General features: G+C 35.5%; 1 long non-coding RNA gene across 4 annotated transcripts in view; it reads left to right on the top strand.

Annotated features, from left to right (window-relative positions):
* The window catches only part of LINC00470 (long intergenic non-protein coding RNA 470), a 91,319-nt gene extending 80,113 nt beyond the window's left edge, over positions 1-11,206 (top strand). Inside the window, exons 3-6 of one of the 4 annotated variants that reach the window (NR_023926.1) lie at positions 3,430-3,551; positions 5,984-6,156; positions 7,006-7,075; positions 9,665-11,206. This is a non-coding gene — a long non-coding RNA (long intergenic non-protein coding RNA 470). The remainder of the gene's footprint in view (positions 1-3,429; positions 3,552-5,983; positions 6,157-7,005; positions 7,076-9,664) is intronic. The other 3 variants (NR_023925.1, NR_110327.1, NR_023927.1) reach the window with 3 other exon arrangements.
* Positions 11,207-13,960: the final 2,754 nt, after the last annotated feature.

The raw sequence follows: 13,960 nt of genomic DNA, 5'->3' as shown, positions 1-13,960 counted from the left end.
GTTTTAAAGCTCTATCAGACCAACTCGATTCTTTCTTAAAATGGCTCTTGTATCATTTTACTGAATTCCTTGGATTGGGTTTCAACTTTCTTCTGAATTTCAATGACCATCGTTGCCATCTAGGTTCTGAATTCTAAGTCCATCATTTCAGCCATTTCAGCCTGGTTAAGAATGATTGCTGGGGAGCAAGTTTGGAGGTAAGAAGTTGCTCTGGCTTTTTGAGTTGCCAAAATTTTTGCATTAGTTCTTTCTCATCTTTGTGGGCTGTTTCTTTAGTCTTTGATGTTGGTGTCCTTTGGATGGGGATTTTTACTATTATACTCTTTGAGGCCCTTGAGGGTTTGATTGCAGTATAAGTTGGGTTCAGTCAACAGGCTTTATTTCTGGATGATTTCAGAAGATCTGGGCTCAACTCAGCACTCCTGGCCTGCATGCTCTAACTCTGAGGAGCTGGAACCAGGCTTACAGCTTTGTTCTCTGGCCCCTCTAGGTTAAGCACTTGCTGCACTGGAGGAGCCAAGGTATTTCCAGTGTGCCTGCAACAACACCCTGATGGGGGTGCCAGCAAAAGCACTTCATTGGGTTGGTGAGGTCCACGTGTGCACACATGCCATCAAAGTGGTGGGAAAAGGCTATGGGCAAGTGTGTGCCATCGAAGGAGTGGGGGAGACTGTGAATGTGTGTACATTGGTGAGGGCCCATCTGCTGAAGCTCCTTGATGGTTAGACAGGGTCTGCCAGCAGAAGAGGTATGGTAGTGGCCACCGGGAAGCACCCGCATTGGGCATTTGAGGCTGCACTATGAGCAGGTGCCACCAGGAAGGGACCCCAGGAAAGGTGGGCAGACAGGGGAGCACTCAGATTAGACTGGCTTTATCCCACAGGTAAGACACCCCTACTCTGTCCAGACCCAACTGTCAACAGAAGCCAAAGCCATCTGGAGGAGCATGGTAAGCCTTGGGGGATGGGCATTTCTGGCCATGCTCTACTGCAACTACCAAACCCTCTGTGCTCTGCAAAGAGGGGAGTCCTGTTCATGCTAGCTGTCCAAGCAGCTCTCTCTGCAAGCTGAAATGACTGTGGGGGTCGTGAGGTCTTCTGCAGCTAGGATTCCAAAAGTCCATGGTGAGAGGTGGCTCCTCCTTGCCTATTAACTCACTTTTTACCCAGGACCTGCTGGGGCCAGGAATGAGTCCTGGTGCTTGGCAGCCCCATACAGGGTTCCCAGCTTCCTGTCTCTTTAGCCTAGAGTCTGTTTCCTCCTTGCATCCCCTCTCAAGACTTCCTTCTGAAGATCTGCCTGGAGCGTTCTGGCCTTTATGGTCTGCTCTCTCAGTGGGAGATGTTCTTCCTGGCTGCATCTAGTCAGCCATCTTGTCTCCCTCTGAGACTGTTTTTTCAATCAAAAAGGATGTTAATATTATTAAATACTTTTCTAGTACCTACTGAATTAATCACATAAGTTAATTCATAATTACATTTATCTTGAGTGTTAAATCATCCTTGAATTCCTGGAATAAACCCATTTGGTAGTAATGTATTTTCTTCTTACATACCACTGCATTCTATTTGCTAAATAATTCTTTATTATTTTGCATCTAAATTAGTAGATTTCAGAAGAACCTGCTGTTTTTAAAGAAAGTGTTGGAAAGTGTTTGTTCTTTTTCTACTCTCTGGAAGATTTTGCATATCTCATTATTTCCTACATATTTTGAAAAATTCACTTTTAAAGCCCACTATGTATAGACTTTTGTGGGTGTAAGAAGATTTTTAAATAATGTTCAACTTATTTAATTGGTATTGCACTTTAAATATCATTTATTTCTTCTTTCATAAATTTTGGTATAATGTGTTTTATTAAACTATTCATTTCATTCAAATTAGCATGTTTATTGGCATGTATTTATTCATAATGTCCTCTTATAATCTGCTAAATGTCTCTAAGATCTGTAGTAGTGTCTTTGTTTCTATTTTGTTATTGGTAATTTGTGGTTTCTATACTTTTTCCTTCATTAATTTTGTGGGAATTTATCAATTTTGTAAATATCTTTAAGAATCAATTATTTGTTTCTATTTTATATCTATTTTCTATTTTATTGATTTCTGGTCCTATTTTTTACTATTTCCTTGATTCTACTTCTTCAGTTTTGATTTGCTCTTTCTTTTCTAGTGTTTTGAGGTGGAAGATTTGGTCACTAATTTTTAATGTTTCTTCTTTTCTGATATACTTATTTAAGGTTAGCCTCTCTCTAATCAGCATATTATGAGCTGCACCCTACAAGTTTTAGTATGCAATACCTTCATTAGCATTCAGTGTGAAATATTTTATAATTTCTACTTTGCCTTACATCTGTGGATTTAGTTATAAATGTATTGTTTAATTCTAAACACTTAGTAGTTTTTATTATTTATTTCTAGTTTAATCCCACTATGGTAAGGAAATTATTTTAATGTTTTGAAATTTATCAAGGCTTATTTTACATGGTATTCTTTGTTAAATGTTTCATTGTGCTTTTTTAAAAAAATGTGACTTTTATTATTAATCAGTGGAATGACCCCTGTATCATTACGAAATTTCTAGCAATATATTTTGCTTTTTATTTTTTTAAAGTATTTCTGTGCCAACTTTTTAAAGTAGAACATTTTTGACATTTATTGTTTTATATTCTTTTAATTTCAACTTTTTTATCTTTATATAAATCTTGTACCTCTTATAAGCAGCATATACCTTTATTTGTTATTTGTTTATTTGTTGTTGCTAACTTGTCTAAGAATCTTAGTACTTTACTTGGAGTATTTAGTCAGTTTGCATTTAGTTACTTACATGTTTAGGTTAGTATCTACAATCTTATCCTTCGTTTTCTCTATGTATCAGGGACAAGTCAGAAACCACATAAATAATTTTAACAAGAAGAATTTAATATAAAAATTATTAACTAGTAAAAGATAGCTGGGGAAGGCTTATAGACACCCCCCACAAAAATATTCATATCTGGAACCTGTTAATGTGTTACTCTCTATGACAATAAGGATGTTGCAGAGATGATTAAGTTAAAGATCTTGAGAAAATTATCTTGATTATCTAGATGGGCTCAGTATAATCACAAGAGTCATTATAAGGAGAAGATGGAGGCAGGAGAGTCAGTGTCAGAGAAGGAGATGCAATAAAAAAATCAGGGTCATAGTCAGACATTTGAAGATGCTATGGTTCTGGCTTTGAAGATGGAAGATGAGGTCATGAGCCATGGAGTGCAGGCAACCTTTAAAAGCTGGAAAAGGCAAAGGAATGCTCTCCTCTTGATTCTCCAAATGGAATGTAGGCCTGCTAACACATTGATTTTAGCCCAGTGAAATGCATTTTGGATTTCTGTCCTACAGAACTATAAAGTAGTAGATTTGTGTTACTTTTAAGCCACTAAATTTGTGGTAGTTTCTTACAGCAACAACAAGAAACAAATTTATTAGCTAACCTAACCACTAATGACGCAAGAGACAATTCTAAGGACTTTCAAAACAGCAAAGTAGGAGCAGCTGCTACCTCTAGGGATGAGGGTGAGTACCCAGAAAAATATATCTTTCCTGTAGCTATTTTTAAATTTTCTCTACATCTTTGGGTTTTGGCTATCTTACTCTGATGTGGTTTATTTTTATATATTTTGTTTTATAGATTTCATCTTGGGTTTGCTGAGCTTATTGAATCTATGATTTATGTCTTTCCTCATATTTGAAAAATGTTTGGTCTTTATCTCCTAATGTATTACTTCTTCCAATTTTCTCTTTCTTAAACCATATTTATATCATGTTAGATCTTTCAACTGCATTGTATTTATGTCTGACACTCTTTTAGTTTTATTTTTATTTTCTTTTTCTTTGGTTTAGGTTGTATATTTTCAATTGCACCTGTCTTCCAGTTTCCTACTCCTAACTTTACTTGTCTCCAATCTATTGAATGCTTTTTTCAGCGAGTAACTTTTTAGTTTTAGAATATTCATTTGATTCCTAGAAAAGTAAATTCCAGTTGACTCTTAAAATTCTCCTTCTTTGCATCCACTTGGTCCAATGTTTGCTCTATTCTATTGAACATATTAATCATAGTTATTTTAAAGTCCTTACCTGTTAACTGCAATAATACTGTGGCTCTAATTTCATTTCCTATTTTTTTCTCTTGATTATGGGTCATATGGACATGACTCTTTCACATCCCTGGTGACTTTGGATTGAATGAATGTTGGACATTGTATATTAAAAACAGGAGATGTATTCATCTGTTCTCACACTGCTAATAAAGACATACCCCGGACTGGATAATTTATAAAGGAAAGAGGTTTAAATAGCTTACAGTTTCCCATGGCTGGGGAGGCCTCACAATCATGGCAGAAGGCAAATGAGGAGTAAAGTCACGTCTTACATGGTGGCAGGAAAAGAGAGAGCTTGTGTAAGGGAATTCCCCTTTATAAAACCATTAGATCTGTGAGACTTACTATCACAAGAACAGCATGGGAAAGACCTGCCCCCATAATTCAATTACCTCCCACCAGGTCCCTTTCATGACACATGGGAATTATGACAGCTACAATTCAAGATTAGATTTGGGTGGGGACACACAGCCAAACAATATCAGGAGAGAATCGAAATGATGTTGTCTTCCAACAGCAATGGTTCACCCTTTTTTCTGCTAGGTTGATGTGGTTGGAAGTTTGTTTGAAGATTAATTTAATTAAGTCTACCATTTTCCCCCTTTCTCTTGTGTCTCCAGTATTGCCACTACAAACCTGTGTAACCACTAGAGTATGTGCTGGTTTCTCTGTGCCCTAGCATTAGATCTCTGTGGCCAAGCCTTGTTCTCAGTCTCTATCTGCACCCATTAGGAAATTTCTTGAGGAAAGAAGCAGTTGGAGATCATCAAAACAAATTCATTACTCCTTTCAAACCTTTTAGTTTTGACTCCTGTGTCTCAGATCTCCTAATTAAAATTGTTACTTTTAGGGGATAGGTAGGAATAAGGTAGAGAGGATGGAAATGGGAGCAATTCTTCTCAATGTAGTTTTCAGTTTTGGATAATGTTAATGCTTTATATATTCAAAATACATTTAAAATTAAAAGGAATCAAAATGAAAACTCTAAAATTGAATACAGGCATATGTATGAACTCAACAATATATCAACTTGATAATATAATCATAGAGAACAGAATAAGTTCAACTAATTACGGGCAAAATAATCTGATTGCATATCCTTAGTATGTTAGTATGTTTAATGTTTAATAACATTAAACCTTATTCGGTGCATTTATTGTTAGTGCATATATTGCACTAAATATTAAACCTTATTGAGTATATATATTGTACAGTTGAAACTAGTTCATTATATTGTAACATAAAGTAAATAAATCGATATTATAATAAAAGATTTTTAATTAAAAGGGGTACAAATATGTATGTAACTAACAATATGAGCTCGCTTTCTCTCTCACATGCATATACACATGTGCACACACATGCACACACACACACACACTCATACACACCTCAGCTTTTTCCACTAAAGTGGCCTGAAAGCAATGATCCTCCAGTGGCAATGAGCATACATAGTGCTCAAATTCTGTTTTCTAAATAATAATTTTCAACCAAAAGGAATTAGGGCCCCTTGGAGAAAACTAATTCCAAATCTAAGGCAGGAAAGTACAGAGTGAGCTTGGGACATGTTGTTGCATGTATTAGCAAAGGAATGTCCAAAGACAAATGAGATTATTTTAAAGCCATGGAACCAGCTTGAAGCAGTTCCACTGTTTAGATCTGGGAACGATTGAGCATTCAGGACAATAATTGGTTGAATTAAACAAATCCATGAGTCAGCTGTAATACTCTAAATGATTAAATAAAAGGAGAAAGATGGCTACAGGGATATTGACTAAGAAAAGCTCATTTTTATAGAAAGAATGATAGAATCAGAAAATATTCATTTTGTCATTCCTCCAAACTCAGGAGAAACTCAAAAATGCATACAAAAACCATTGCATGAAAAGTGACTGGATTTGTACATAGCGTCAGGAGATGTGCGTAGTGTCAAAGTATCTCATCACACATTACTTGATAATTACAAATGAGAAAAATGAACCTTCACAGTGGCAAGACTTGACTTCTACCTCTTTCAAAAAGTGAGTGAATTTACTATCACTAATAATTAGATTATATTATGTTATGTCCCCTGATATGATACAATATGGTGTACACACTCCATTACCTATAAAATATTTTTTCTCTAAATATTAACTTCAATTTACACACTTCTAAGCCAAACTTCCAGTCTAGAGAAAATACAAGAGCTAGAGAAAATAGTTAAATGATAACATGAGAAAATAATCACAGTGATCTAGATTCTTCCAAAAGTAAAAGTAGTTTTAAAAAGCAGGAGAAAGTTCAAATTTTAGGGACTAAAGAAACCTAACAAAGCAGTTTATTATAAACCTCGATTATAATAGTTTACTATATTGTTAGCTATTAATAGTTCATTATTTTTACTTTAAAGTGCAGGGAAAGATCTCCGTTGTTCCTCTCCAAAGTCCAATCTCTCCAACTCCAGAGAATGTTTTGTAAATAATTTATGTAATTTTTATAAAAATTATAATCAGTAAAAGTATGAGTAGCTATGTGTTATTTTAAAATACATTTGTAATAAAAACATATAAACATGTCTATAGAGCTTATTTATTCAAATTAGCAGACTACTGTATTCCATTATATAACAATACCACAATTATCTACTCCTCTCCTGATAGAGATTTGTATTAGTTTTCAACATTTTAAACTTAAAAATTAATTCTATATCTAACAATCTTTTCTTTTGTACATCCATATACTTTCTAAAGTGTGATGGTAATTTTCACATTATCCGACAGTATACGAGTGTTTTCATTTCTGGTCTGTACAACTTTGGTACTGACAAATTTTCGAGTTTTGCTAATCTGAGGTAAATAGATAAAAATAGTTTCTCATTATTGTTACAGGATGCAATTGTCCAATTATTGGTGAAATTGTCATTTCATGCTATTGGCTATTTGAAATTCCTCCTCTAATGTAAGTGTCCTTTTCTCGTTTTTCTATTATATTGTTTGTGGTTTTCATATTGATTTAAAGTTATTTGTGTTTTTTATTTATGTTGCAATCTTCTCCTAGTTGGTGAATTGCTTTTAAATCTAGGGTGCCTTAGCTTGTTATATTATTTTCCATATTTTTAAACTAAAAATAATGAGAAATGGTAATATCTGAAATTTTATATGTAGCCTCCTAATTAATTTTTACCAAGTTTATGGTACAGTCATCAATAGCAAGGTAAGTCTAGGAGACTAAATTCCCATATCACATTGGACAGTTTCCTGAAGACTGGCTCTCTCTTGGTAAAGGTGTATCCTTTGATAGGGTAAATATGATTAACTTCCAAGGAAATGAAAAATTTACAACCTTTAAATGTCCAAGACCCAGGGAGGGACCTCTGCTCTCAATAGATCTAGAGGAATCCTCCCTAATGATGATGGCCACACCCCAGTTTTGAAACACCAAGCCATGAAAATAGAGGGACACTTACAGTTCTATTTATTGAGTGCATTTTTGAGACTTTCAAAGCTCACTGAGCATGCTCTAATTTAGGTATAACAGATTCAAAATGTATCACTTGTGCATTACCTTCCCCACATTCCAGTTCCTTTTCCTGAAGCCTTTCTGGCCTTCTAACTCTGGCTGAAGACCACCTAAAGAAGGAGAAGGATGTGACTTAGGGGTAGTTTCTTCTAGAAAGATAAAGGAGGAGAACATCTAGTGTTGACTTGGAAGTGGGAATATTCAAGGAGAGAGAGAGAGAGAAAGAGAGAATTCCAACTTCTAACCTCCTTCGTTTGAAACTCATAGGAGGTGAGTGGGGAGAGTTAAAATATCCTCATAAGTTTGAGGACTATTCCTAGGGAGCCAGTGACACCATTTCCCACTTCCGAGTAGCTTGGTGTTTGGTTTGAGATTCTTCAGAGAGACTTTACTCTCACTTGTCACCACTCAGGAGCAGCTTATAGGACATCCTAAGCAGCCCCTTTGTCCTTGTGGGGGAATGAGGATGTGGTGAGAAATTGGGAAACCTGGGATCTGGTGGGAAAATGGTGGAGTGAATGCACCTTGCTGTGGGAGGCAATGCTGCAAAAGCCAGAGAGCTCAGCGTGCCATCTTTCTGGATGCAGTAATGTCCTAAAGGGCAGAATAAAGACCACAGGTCTTTCTTGGCTGCCGTAACTTCCCTTGCACCCAGATCCCAACATACAGAGAGTGACAGGGAAGAGGGGAGGAAGTAAAAAGATGATTTAAACTTTCCTCTTAGAGGGATTTGAACTGGGAATTGAATGAATATTTACCTGAAAGGACCCTTTTAACTTGGAAGACGCTGGATTACTTTTAATTGGCAATTTTTAGAAATCCCTCTCCCCATCCTATCCTCCTCTGATGCTGTCATGGGCATGGAAGCGCCAGAGCAAGGTGAGATATAGAAAATAAAGATACAGTTTTACACAAGGATTTGTGATCTTTAGGATTTTATTCCAGTTAGATGATAATTCATTCCTACAAAGACACTATCTTCTATATTTCTGAGGGGAAAAATCATAAAGACTCATTATTCTCATATTGTTAACTCTGTTCTGGGCACCAAGTTGAGGCTGCTTCACACTGGCAATGTTCTTAGTATTTTCTTTAAAAACCATGCCATGGGCACTGTAAATGTAATCTGGTACATTCCTTCCCTTATATGATATTTGGTCAATAATTTGGTGGACAACATTTTACATATTCTTAAAGGCTATTTTGTCTGTGATGTTCAAATACATAAATATCAGATAACCTGTCTGAATTTTAATTTTTAGTTTTCTTTACTACTAAAGTAATTCCTAAATCTAATATTACAGATGATTATGTTATCTACATATTATCTGTAATATTCTTGTGAATAGTAAGAAGTCTTATTTTTAAAAATTATTGTCAGAAGTTCAATTCAAATCATTTGTTTTGTGAATGATGCATTCAAAACAACCTTCAAAGCTTTATGGAGTTACACAAGGGAATGCAGTGTTCCAGTTCTGAGGTTTTATAATTACTGAGGAAAAAGGTGGACACATGTCCCTACCCTCACCCCATGTCTCCTTCTTAATGTCCATTCAGATGCCTTGTGACGACAGTGGTTGTACTAGAGTCACCTTTATTCAGTCAAATATTGACATGCAATATTGACACAACTGTATTAACATTTCCATTCCCAGATGACTCATTTACTGGGAGCAAGTTCACATGCCAATCCATAGTAGACATTTAATAAGTATTTGTTGGATGAATAAATGAACATATTGGCCGATTTGCATGAGACCTTAAAAAAAATGAGGTGTGGAATATTCTTGTGGTAAAACAAATAATTGTGATAAGTTCCTTCTTTTTTCTTCTTGATATTTATGGCATCAACTTTTTACTTATATCTGGTATTTGATATAACATATGTATTAATGGAAGTTGCAGTAGAGAAGAAAAATGAGGAGATATTTATTTTTATTTTTAGAAAATGGGAATAAATCACGGAAAAGTTTATGATTTATTGAGTTATTTTATGAAGTTCTGATCTGAGATATCACATTTCTGCAGTTCAGAATAAATCACTGAAATTGACATCGGCCAGTCTGAATTTCAAGAAATTACCTGCTGAAGACAAGAGGGATCTCTTCTTCAGATTTGCAGTCTGGGGAAGACACAGCCTCTACTGTACTTTAGAACCTGAGATATGGTGGTGGAGGGAGCCCTGGGTCGAGTGGTAAGATTCACCCTTAGGTTAGTATTGACGTAAGGTGACGAGGAGCTGTAGACAAAAGATTGTAACCATAAGAACTTCATAGTTTTTGTATTTTCACCGAGCTTATATTTGGTGTGTTTTTTGTCTTTTCTTTATGATTATCAATAAAATGCTTGAAAGGAGATGAGGTTGGGGAATAATTTTTGGGAATACCACAAAAGACACTTTTGTGATGGAAATCCTTAAAAAGACACAATCCATTACCTCATTGGGTTCAAAAGGCAATTGTGAACTACTGTGGAGTTTGGAAAGAAGCAATGAGGTAATCAAGGATACTGTTGACAATCTAGCTTATCCTATGGATGGAAGGAAATTGAAACTAATGGAGGCGAGGCTGGTAAAACAATAGGGTTTGAGACAATTCTGTGGCATTAGAAATGAAAGAGGAAGGTGAATCCGGGAGACGGAGCTTGCAGTGAGCTGAGATCGCGCCACTGCACTCCAGCCTGGGCGACAGAGCGAGACTCCATCTCAAAAAAAAAAAAAAAGAAAGAAAGAAAAGAAAGAGGAAGTAATAATCTGTGAAATTTTTCCTTAGGAACTTATTGGCAATTTAAAAATGAATTTGTTAAGCCATGCTGGTTCTGACCCAAAAGCCATTCCCCAGCCTTCCTCACTCCCCTCTTTCACTACTGGCAGAGATTGTCTCTCATTTTACAAGCTGAAAATGCCAGATGCTTGCTTTTACAGTCTTCCTTACACCCAGAGCATGTGCATATGTTTAAACGGTCAAGAAGAAGTCATAACATGGGTGTCTGGGAGAGCTTTTATCCCACAAAAACAACACTTCACTCAAAAAACAAACCAAACAAAGAAAAATTCTCCTTCCTGCCATTGGATGTGAGGCTCAGACCTCTAGTAACCATTTTGTGACCACAAAGCAACAAGCCTGAGGAAAAGTCCTACACGCTGAGCAACAGGCAGAAATATTGCCATCGCTGAGTTGCAGAAACAAATCTAGAGATGTTTTGCTTCTGTAATTATTTTTTATGGGAGATTACAAGTGGGTTTACTGTTCACTTTTCAAATCTTATTTCTCTATGATGTTTAGCTTGGGTAAATTTTACCTTAAATCCACTTTTTTATGTAAGGTAACATATTTGTCGGTTTCAAGGATTAAGATGTGGGCATACTTGGAGGCCATTATTTTGCCCACCACAGGTGAAAAAGGAAGTGTTATTCTTAAATCATTTGGAAGGATCTCTGTGTAAATGCAAGAGCGAGACAAGAAAATGCTGTCATTCTTTTGATATGGACTCGAATTTCCACTTCATGGTTGTCTGCTTCCTTTTTAGAGTATTATTTATCCTCCTAATAAAAAGAAAGTGAAATTTCCCATTTCTTTACATTTGTTGGCTTTTGGTTAGTCATTTTGAAGAAGACCTTTGGAGAGGACCTAATATTGTAAAAGTGATAGATTTAGATTGTTCTAATAACAGAGTTAGTAGGCTTGAATACAATCCTTTTTGTATTTAGAAGACACAGAACTCTGTTGCATGAGGTTTATATCCTTTTTGAAGCAGGAGAATTTGGTTACATAGCAATAGAAAAATTTAGTAGGACAATTTATTTTCAAATTAGGGCAAGAGAAATGCTTTTTTCTCTGTTAAGTAGTTAACAAAATGATTAATTTTATTAACTCACTAGAGCATAAGATAAATTTTGAGAAAGTCTCCAGATTTTGTGTAGTTATTGCCTAAAACACTTTACATGGCTTTGGAACCTTGTGCTATATGGATTACTTAGCTATGGCTTTGATAGCTTTTTGGCTAGGAGAGACTTCAATAATTAAACTGATAATTGCTTTAATCTGGGCTTTGTTTTTATATCTACTTCTGGCTTCCACTTAATGGAGGTAGAGATACTAGCTAGCAGTCAAACTACTTATGCTATAGATATTGTGTTAGGAAAAACAACTTTTTATTTCTTTTTAAGAAATGTTTTAAAAATCAATGTTTCTCTGGAAATTTACAGTCTCCTTGGAGAGGAATGTCTATAACATTAAATTTATTGTTGATTTTAACCTCATGCAATCCATGTACATGGCTCTTGCTCATCCTCCATTACTTTATTTTGTTATTATTATTGTTTTTACACAGAGCCCACTTATGTGTGCATGAAGAACAAGACTATTTTAAGCAACTGAACAAGGTATCACTGCAACCTGGGAAACAACTTTGATCCTTCAATTTCTCCACAATTAATTCTGTGGCAGGTAGCTTAGGAATCCCAAGCAGGCATAGAAACCATGATGAGGTCTCCTGTGCAAACCTCTCCAGATCTGAAACAGCCCCTGCAAATGCTGATTGCTTGCAAATGCAACTGTCTAGGTTACATACAAAATGAACATAATAAGTTTTTATTTCCCATGGTGATACACCAACAGCTACATTCGGCTTCTAATAGTCTGCAATTCAGTAATAATAGCTTGGTTCAGTTTAGTTTATTGAAGACATAAAAATACTTGGCAGCCAGAGGCTGGAATGCATGGTTCAAGGGAACAAGATTCCAACAGGGACCACAGGACCTGTACGTGGAACATGGGTATACTCAGCATTTAGCAGCTATGATTTATTCATTTGGTGAAAAGCAGCATTCCATAAATATGATTTATGTAATTACTGAGGAGGGAATTCAATCTCTAATTTTATAGAAGGGTACCTCAGAATTTTGTTGCACACACCTCACCTTTTTAATAACATTTCTTTTGGCAGAAAATATTTCAATGCCTCACTTTTCTCAGGAGAAAACTCTTCATTTTCATCTTTTAGAGAGGAAAGAAAAAAAATATCAAGTTGCTTTTCTCAGTAACTGGCTTGAGAGCTTAGGCATTACACATCTCTGCTGTGAAACCGAAGGATTTCTTGAATTCAGCTCAAATATCTTAAGCAGAGCTATTTGGGTATAATTTTTTAATCAAAAATGTATCTTCTAGAGGTGAAAATTTAAAACTTTAGACTGGAAAATATTCATTTAACATAAGATGCCGTTATTAGGTGCTAGAAAGTTTAGATAATGTTGGTAATGAAATCCACCATATTTTTATTTATCTTCCACATTAATGAAACTCGCTTAATATTTGGACTAAGAAGACCTGGGCACAATTAGCACTGTATCTCAACTCAACTATGCAACACACTTGACCGTATGAGCTTCAGGAATCTGTTGGCTTCCCTAAGCTTTGGTTTATCCATTTACCAAATGAAGAGTTTGTCAGCCATCTGCCTTATCTGCTACCTCACAGATGTGTTTTAAGTATACCTGAATATCAAATAGAATAATAAATGCAGAAATGGTAGGTCAACTTTACAGAATTTTGTGAGCTTTTATTATTTCATAAAAAGTAGGCCAGTGACACCATGAAGATATGTTCTTTGAGCTGTTCCTACGTTGGTAACAGTGGCATTACACAATTCCACATACTCTGCCAGCCTCTTTGTTGCTTGTGATACAAAATTGTAACTAGTGATGAACCAAGGATTAAGGTAGTCTGTTACTATAGTCATGGGAGACAATCTGGGAATGACACAAAGAATCCTGGTTCAAGATGGAGGTCTTTCAGTGTGTGATTTTGGGTAACTCACTGAATTTTTTTAAACCTCAGTTATCTCATCTGTAAAATATTTGAATAAAACCCCTTGATACTGTGCCTCCAGACTGCTCCATCAAAAGAAGCAATGGAAACTCTTTGGAAACCTAAAACCCACAAATGGAAATTGTTATCATTTATCTTATATTTGGACATGCTAACCTTTAGCATTGACAAATGCCATTATGTAAAATACAATTATTTCCTCATAAAAGCTTAATGCTGTACTGGTGAAGGAGATAATCCTTTCTGTTTGTTTTCTATGATAAACAGCTTTCAGTATAATTGCAGTAAATAAAATCTGTAATGTCTTTATAAATCTTTATTTAGTCAGAACCATGACTATTTCATATAGTGACCTTTTCTTTTGAAAATGATGAGTCTTCTTTGTCAATAAAAACTTGAGGAGTTTACAAACAGACAATGGAATCATCATTATTAAGAAAACTCAAACAAAGTGTTTTAACAATAATATAGGTGTTTAAGAAACTCCACGTATGAA

This window comes from Homo sapiens, chromosome 18, assembly GCF_000001405.40.
Source record: "Homo sapiens chromosome 18, GRCh38.p14 Primary Assembly".
Taxonomy (NCBI): Eukaryota; Metazoa; Chordata; class Mammalia; order Primates; family Hominidae; genus Homo; species Homo sapiens.
This window is presented reverse-complemented; position numbering and strand designations above follow the sequence as displayed.